Source organism: Homo sapiens, chromosome 1 (genome assembly GCF_000001405.40).
Source record: "Homo sapiens chromosome 1, GRCh38.p14 Primary Assembly".
NCBI classification, from domain to species: Eukaryota; Metazoa; Chordata; class Mammalia; order Primates; family Hominidae; genus Homo; species Homo sapiens.
The window spans coordinates 171668601-171677602 of record NC_000001.11 but is presented as its reverse complement, the minus strand read 5'-3'; the positions used below and the strand labels follow the sequence as shown (position 1 = coordinate 171677602).

General features: G+C 40.2%; 1 pseudogene; it reads left to right on the top strand.

Annotated features, from left to right (window-relative positions):
- PFN1P1 (profilin 1 pseudogene 1) lies at window positions 6515-7329 on the top strand (annotated as a pseudogene).

Below are 9002 nucleotides of genomic sequence, written 5' to 3'. Positions count from 1 at the left end.
TGGGATTACAGGTATGAGCCACTGCGTCCGGCCAATGGGTGTGTATTTTTCTAAAGCCAAGTCGATATTAATTTGTACCAGAAAATGCCTTGCGTGTAAGGAAGTTAAGTCCTAGAGATAATTGTAACAAGAAAACACAATATTTTGAATGAAAAACCCATCCAATTCTTTTTTTTTTTTTTTTTCTGAGACAGAATCTTGCTCTGTCACCCAGGCTGGACTGCAGTGGTGTGATCTTGGCTCACTGCAACCTCCGCCTCCCAGGTTCAAGCAATTCTCCTGCCTCAGCCTCCCAAGTAGCTGGGATTACAGGCGTGTGCCACCATGCCTGGCTAATTTTTGTATTTTTAGTAGAGACGGAGTTTCACCATGTTGGCCAGACTGGTCTTGAACTCCTGACCTCAGGTGATCCACCTGCCTCAGCCTCCCAAAGTACTGGAATTACAGGAGTGAGCCACTGCGCCCGGCCAAACCCATCCAATTCTTTTACCCCCCACCTGACTGTTCCCCTCTCCTCTGCCTCCTCTCTGCTCACCAGCTCTGATCTGGTGCCAAGTGAGAATCAGAATTAGCTGACTACACATTTCCAAGCAAAGAGAGTATAATATATGCCTGTGCTCATCCTCTCACTCATTTCCTTTCTCCTCCTCTTCTCTGTCCCTCCTCTCCTTCCTTCCCCCTTTCCATCACCTTCAGAGCCATCATTATCATCACTAATATTTTTAAGTACTGGAGTGGTGCCAGGCACAGTCTAGGTTCTTTATATGCATTATCTCAACTCCAATTACTTTGTCACAAGCACACTATTGTTGAGGATATTAACTAAACAAGCTTACTTTATTGCTACTGTCATTAGAAAGTGAATCCTAAGTAGCGTATCTTAACACTATTAAAATAAACCAGTGGTTCACAACCGGAGATGATTTTGCCCTTTAGAGAACATCTGTCATTATCTGGAAACATTTTTGGTTCTCATAGCTAGAGGGGATGCTCTAGTTAGGGGAGGCCCTAAACATCCTTCAATGCACAGAACAGCCCCCGACTTCAAAGAAATATCTGGCCCAAAATGTTAAGAGTGCTGAGGGTGATAAACCCTGAGATAAGCTAATTTTTATAGGGATTAGAAAAAAATGCACCACTAAGAAAAATTTAGATTGCCATTAACTCTTTTACATCAAATCATACAGTTTTTAATACAATTTTCACACCTTGCTGCAGTCATGAGAACTATATTTCTTTTTTTTCTTTCTTTTTTTTTTTTTTTTTGATTAGAAGTCTCACTCTGTTGCCCAGGCTGGGGTGAAGTGGCATAATCTCAACTCACTGTAGCCTCCGCCTCCCAAGTTCAAACAATTCTGCTGTCTCAGCCTCCTGAGTAACTGGGATCACAGGCATGCACCACTACACCTGGCTAATCTTTATATTTTTAGTAGAGACAGTGTTTCACCATGTTGGCCAGGCTGGTCTTGAACTCCTGACCTCAGGTGATCTGCCCACCTTGGCCTCCCAAAGTGCTGGGATTATAGACACTGCCACCATGCCTACTGGCTAGGCATGGTAGCTCACACCTCTAATCCCAGCTACTCAGGAGGCTAAGGCAGGAGAATCGCTTGAACCCAGGGGACAGAGGTTGCAGTGAGCTGATATGGCGCCACTTCAATCCAGCCTGGGCAAAAGAATGAAACTCTGTCTCAAAAAACAAACAAACAAACAAAAAACATAAAACAACTACAAGTCAAAGCACTTTTTATCTCCACAAAGGGAAGAGCAAAAAAGTAGGGCTGTTAGCCTTATAAAAATATAATTTTCTTAATGAAAAAAATGTTACTAGCTCAGTGAACAATGGCTTCTTTTATAAGGAAACTGGGAAAATATCATTGTTTTCCAACTTTTTCCCTTTAACTTTCAATCTTTCTGGCGATCCTTAAACTAAACCTGTTTATTATCCTGTAAGGTGAAACTTTTATTTCCCATCTTGAGTCAAGAGGTTTCTTCAACATTGTCAAGGTAGATTTAAAACAAAAGTTTAAAATCCTCTATTTCAGACAAAGATCAGCCAACAACAATGAAAAGCCAACCATTTACTTAGTTTTGTTTCATTTCTGATACTTAACCTTATATTCTTCTATCTAATTTATTCAATGGAGCATTTTCCCCATACTATGTCTTTCCTTCAAGTAGTGTCCATTGTTTCCTAGCGTTCCTAAAAAGCTTGTTGTCCCCAAAAGTTTATGTTATGCTGCTTTCCCCAAAAGCTTACATTGTCTTCTAAGACCAATCTCTGTAAACACAGCCCAAATCCCAGTTCTTGATGGCTTTCACACTGAGCTGTTTTCAGGTCCACCACCAGTTCTAGGCTCAGCCAAGTTGGCTCAGTATTATATGTGCCTAAAGTTGCCTGGAGACATACTGGTGCCAGGAACAAACTTCAGGCATTTCAAACTTCACTGTTTATTTTTAAAGTCCATATTCCTTTTATTTAAGAACTCCTCTTCCTCTCTCTTCTCCCAAAAAATCATTCAGCTTTCAAAACAGGGCTCATTCTAGAGCCACAAAGTCTTGTTTACCCTAGAAACTTGGCCAGCAGGTTTTGAATTCTGAACAGTATGCCCTACTTAATGGAAGAGGGTAGAAGGAGAGAAAAATCACTTTCCCAGAAGTATGCAGCTAAAATTCTAACTAATCTACTTTTAAAATTTGAAGTGATTTCTTCCTTCCTTATTTTATTATAAGAAAGGCTGAAGGCCATTGGTGATGACTTTCTAAAGCAGTCCAGGCCTGTTTTTGTAAACACATTGTCTCTTGCTGAAGGCATTCTCCTCTCTCTAGTCTTCAGTGCTTCCTGCTTTTGTCCATTCACCAGTAGTTCATATTATATTTGAAAGGAAATTTTGATGAGATACTTGCTGTACTGTATTAATTGGAAGTATAAGTCAGCTCTGAAGAGACTGATGATTTCCTTCTTGGCATTCTGCTTTTTGATTGCAGATGATATTACCAAGTAAATATTGGATCCCTGCATTTGGCCACAGCCCCCAGTTGTAAACTTACTCCAGATGTGATTGAAATAATCCGAAGTATGATCTAACAATGAAGTTTAAATATGAATGTAACTTTCCCCACAACGACTTTGCTTAATATAAATAAATACTTTTAGAAAGACTTAAAGAAATACATTCACCCCAGATACAATCTAGGCTCTCTTTTTCCATGAAACTCAAGCATTAAGTATCACCATTTAATTCTTATTTCTCCAATTTTTCCATAAAGATGTTTAAAAACTTCTTCCACTTGGAGTTTATCAGATGCCTAAACAGTTCTGTCTGTTCCAACCATATCTGCCTTCATAACAATTATATTCTGCAGTTTGTCATCTTGCTATTAATTCTAATTCTCTAATAAAATACCCTTTCTTGAGGTTTTATCTTGATATATAATATCTAAAGTTCAGATTCCTTAAGATTTTTCTTTGTGTAATTTTCTTTATCAGCTCAGAAAATGGAGAAAGCTAAAGAACTTCTTGCCCTGTAATAGCCTCTTTCTATCAAAAAAACTGCTGAAGAGCCACATCTTAAAAGAGCATGTCAATCATCCCCCAAGCACCTTCTTTTCTGTCATATTTTCTCTCTTTAGTTCTCTGTGGTGCAATCTTGACAACATATTTTATCTTTTTCAAAAATTTCAAATCTGCCTGTTCTTTTTTTTTCATAATGTCATATTATTTTCTTAGGATTTTAAGTATTTATGTCAAGTCTTCAATTATTTTTCCATGTCTGTTTTGAGTTCTCTTTGATATTATTGTTGCAGCAATATTATGAAGTTCTTGGGTTCTAATCCCCCTGTTGCAATGCCTGCTGGTTCTTGCTGGTGGTAAATGGTTTCTGGGGCCACCACAACATATATACACTGCAAGGGCTCTGTTATCATCATCCTGCATGTGCCCTTGCTGTGTGAAACACACAAGCTAAGAAGACATCTATGGTGTGCCTAATGGATTCTGCCTTGTTTTATACATTTTTATCAGTAATTTTTCTTTAATAGGGGTATTTTTTCCTGTGGGAATCTCAATAGAAATTGCTCCCCTGTTTTACATAAATTCTGCCAAGCATTCAAAGGGGATTATCAGGTATCAATTTTTTTTATTTTTTTATTTTTTTTTTTGAGATAGAGTCTCAGTCTGTCTGGCCCAGGCTGGAGTGCAGTGGTGCAAATCTCAGCTCACTGCAGTTTCCGCCTCCGGGGTTCAAGTGATTCTCCTGTCTCAGCCTCCTGAGTAACTGGGACCACAGGCATCTGCCACCACACCCTGCTAATTTTGTATTTTTAGTAGAGATGGGGTTTCACCATGTTGGCCAGGCTGGTCTCGAACTCCTGACATCGGGTGATCCACCCACCTTGGCCTCCCAAAGGGCTGGGATTACAGGTATGAGTGACCATGCCTGGGCCAGGTATCAATTTTTAAATGATTATTTCTTTTAAACAATGGAGGTTTCTGGACCCCTCAGGTGTTATCAATTCAATCCTCAAATCTGTGCAAGGAGCAAGGCAGTTTCAGTTTTTCAAGAGACCTCTCAGGAGAGACTCAAGCTTCCTTTTCATTTTCTTAAGTTGGTAAATGGTTGTGTTCCTTCTGCCATTCTTTCACTGAAAGCGTACCCCCTCAGGGGTTCCTACTTTATATTGAGTCTCAGCCACAATCAGCAACCATTAAGTGAACCCAAGACTCCTCTCCTGTGCTCACAATGTTGTTTACTCCAAGTCCTTAGGTCAGTAGAAACTTTATACCCCGATCCTTGCCCGCACGAAAAAATACAGGCAGCTACCTGTATTGGTCCATATACTCAATACTGCTTTCAGATCCCTTCTCATTTTTTGCACATGAAATTTCCTTGTTTTTTTTTATAAACCAAGCTTTGCATTAAAAGTAGTTTTTGTTTTATTTTATCTAGTATATCTGGTGCTACACATACAAAAGATGTGTACAGACACTTTATGAAAGGAAAGATACAGATGATAAATCACATCATGTCATCTTTCCAGAACCAAAAATGTTATATTGTTGAAATTTTAAGAAAAAATACTCCATACCACATATAAAACAACACAAAATGAACCATAGGTCTAAATGTGAAACGTAAAATCATAAAATGTTTAGAAGAAGACAAGAGAAAAATCTCTGTGATGTTGACTTAGGCAAATTTCTTAGATAAGACACAAAAAGCATGAACAAAAATTTTAAAAGAAGATAAAATTGACTTTATCAAAATGAAAATTTTCTGCTTTTCAAGACATTCTTAAGAAAATGAAAAGATTCTCTATTTTTCTTAGAAAGGAAAAAAAAAAGGAAATGAAAAGACAAGCTACAGACTGAGTGAAAATATTTACAAATCACATGTTTGCCAAAGGACTCGTATCCAGAATATACAATATATATAAGACATATATATGTAGTGAGTCTCATGACTCAGTAAAAAGAAAGTAATCTAATTTTTAAAATGGGCAAAAGATGTGTACAGTATCACTTTGTTGAAAGTTTCACTTTGTCAGTGAAAATATACAGATGATAAATAACATCATTAGTCTTCAGGGATGTGAAATTAAAGCCTCAGGGAGATACTACCACCCACTTGTCAGAATGACTACAATTTTTAAAACCTGACAATACCAAATGTTGACAAAGATGTAGAGCAACAGGAACTTTTATACACTGCTGGTAGGAATATGAAATAGTACAGCCATCCTGGAAAACAGTTTGGCAGTTTCTTATAAAGTTAAACATACAATTACCATATGATCCAGCAATTCTATTCCTATGTATTTACCCAAGAGAAATGAAAATATATGACTATACAAAGACTTATACACAAACGCTTACAGCAGCTTTACTATTTGTTATGGGTTGAATTGCCCCCTGTCCCCCAATTAATATGTTGAAGTCCTAACCCCAGTACCTCAGAATGTGACCTTATTTGGAAATAGGGTGGTTACGGATATAATTAATTAACATGAAACCATATTGGAGTAGAGTGGGACTTTAATCCAGTATGACCGGAGTCTTTTTTTTTTTTTTTTTTTTTTGAGATGGAGTCTCGCTCTGTCCCCCAGCCTGGAGTGCAGTGGTGCCATCTCGGCTCACTGCAAGCTCCGCCTCCCGGGTTCACGCCATTCCCCTGCCTCAGCCTCCCGAGTAGCTGGGACTACAGGCGCCCGCCACCACGCTCGGCTAATTTTTTGTATTTTTAGTAGAGACGGGATTTCACCGCGTTAGCCAGGATGGGCTCGATCTCCTGACCTCATAATCCGCCCATCTCGGCCTCCCAAAGTGCTGGGATTACAGGCGTGAGCCACTGAGCTCGGCAACTGGAGTCTTTTTAAAAGGAGAAATGTGAACACAGGCGCAGATACAGGGAGCATGCTATGTAAACATAAAGATAGCCAAAGAGACAGAACGGGAAGAGATCCTTCCCTCATGACCCTCAGAAGGAACAAACAGGTAGTGGTACAAGGCTGCTGCACAGCGAGCAGAGCCACGGTCCAGACGGCAGCGCGTGCCCCGAGCTCTCCGCTTCCCACCGCCCGCCAGCCCAGGCAGCCCGAGCCCAGCCCGCTGCCCCAGCAGCAGCGCCATGGCCGGGTGGACGCCTACATTGACAACATCATGACCATGGCCGGGTGGACACCGACATCGACAACCTTATGGCGGACGGGACCTGTCAGGACGTGGCCATCGTGGGCTACAAGGACTCGCCCTCCATCTGGGCCGCCGTCCCCGGGAAAACCTTCGCCAACATCGCGCCAGCTGAGGTTGGTGTCCTGGCTGGCAAAGACAGGTCAAGTTTTTTTGTGAATGGGCTGACACTTGGGGGCCAGAAATGTTCGGTGATCCGGGACTCACTGCTGCAGGATGGGGAATTTTGCATGGATCTTCGTATACCAAGAGTACCGGTGGAGCCCCCACCTTCAATGTCACTGTCACCAAGACTGACAAGACGCTAGTCCTGCTGATGGGCAAAGAAGGTGTCCACGGTGGTTTGATCAACAAGAAATGTTATGAAATGGCCTCCCACCTTCGGCGTTCCCAGTACTGACCTCGTCTGTCCCTTGCCCTTCACCGCTCCCCACAGCTTTGTATCCCTTCCCTCCCCATACACCATTTTATTTTGGGGGCCATTACCCCACACCCCTTATTGCTGCCAAAACCACATGGGCTGGGGTACAGGGCTGATGGCCAGACACCTTCCCCTACCCATACCCCTCCTCTGTGTGGTTGTAAAACTTTTTTGGGAGGATTGTTTTATTTTTTCTGAATAAAAAAGATTCTACAAAAAAAAAAAAAAAAGGGAACAAACCTTGCTGGAACCTTGATTTTGGATTTGTAGCCTTTGGAACTGTTGGACAGTATATTTCTGTTGTTTAAGCTACCCAGTTTGTGGTACTTAGTTATGGCAGCACTAGCAAGCTGATGTAAGTAGTCCAAAATTGAAGACAACCCAATGTCCACTAACCCATGAAAGGATAAGGATAACATATTATGGTACATCCATGCTGTGAAATACGGCTCATTAATACAAAGAAACGAACTACTTGTAAATACAACAACATGGCTGACTCTCAAAAGCACTCATGCCAACTGATATAAGCCAAAAACAAAAGGCTACAGTCTATATGTTTTTATTTATATGACATTCCAGAAAAGGCAAAACTGTCAAGACTAAAATAAGATCAGTGGTTGCCAAGGGCCGGTGACTAGGGAGAAGGAATTGGCTACAAAAAGGCACAAAGGAACTTTTAGGGACAAAGGAAATATTCTGTATTTTGATTACGGTAGTGGATACATTATTGTACATATTAGTCAAAACACATACACCTAAAACGGGTGAATTTTACTACATGTAAATAACCCTTCAATAAACCTGACTCCTAAAAATTATATTACAAAAAATACAAAGATGGAAGCCAAAATATCATATATTCTCATTATCTAAATATAATCACTATGAACATTTTGCTATATTTATATCTAGCTTTTATATAGATAATATATATTTAAAAGTGTAGGGTGGCATTGCATATCTAGTTTTATAATTTACTTATTTCATTTAACAAAATATTGTAAATAACAATATTATTCTGAAATTTTACGTCTATTTATTTCATAGGATATGGGTATGCTACAGTTTCTTCAACCAATACCCTGTTGTTGAAAACTGTGGGTTGCTAGGTTCAGTGGGTCACATCTGTAATCCCAGCACTTTGGGAAGCAAAGGCGGAAGAATTGCTTGAGCTCAGGAGTTCAAGACCAGCTTGGGCAACAGAGAGAGACCTTGTCCCTACTAAAACTTTAAAAAACAAAATCAGCCAGGTATGGTGGCACACACCTGTAGTCCCAACTACTTGGGATGCTAAAGTGGGAGGATCACTTGAGCTCAGGATGTCGAGGCTGCAATGAGCCATGATCCCACCACTGCACTCCAGCCTAGGCGACAGAGTGAGACTCTGTCTCAAACAAACAAACAAACAAACAAACAAACAAACACCTGTGGGTTTCCCTGCAGTGTTTTGCAATAATAATGCTTCAATCAATCTCTTTAAAGCTTAGGTGTTAATCTATAAAAATGGAATCATTATTTTTGTTAAACAACAATAGAGATATCATACATTAATATAAAATTATTAATTTAAAAAGTGATCCATTTCTTAATAGAATGTATCCCATTGCTATACTTTTTTTTTTTTTTTTCAGAGACAGGGTCTTAATTTGTAACCCAAGTTAGAGTGCAGTGGCCGGATCATAGCTCACTGCAGCATCAAACTTGAACTCCTGGGCTCAAACGATCCTCCTGCCTCAGCCTCCCATGTAGCTGGAACTACAGGCGCATGAACCACTGCCCCCGGCCCCCATTACTATATATTTTTGAGAGTTGTCCTCCTTTTGACATATACTTTCCTGTGGCAGAATTTAGAGAGGCTGAGTAGTATAGTGAAATAACACAGGTGCGGGA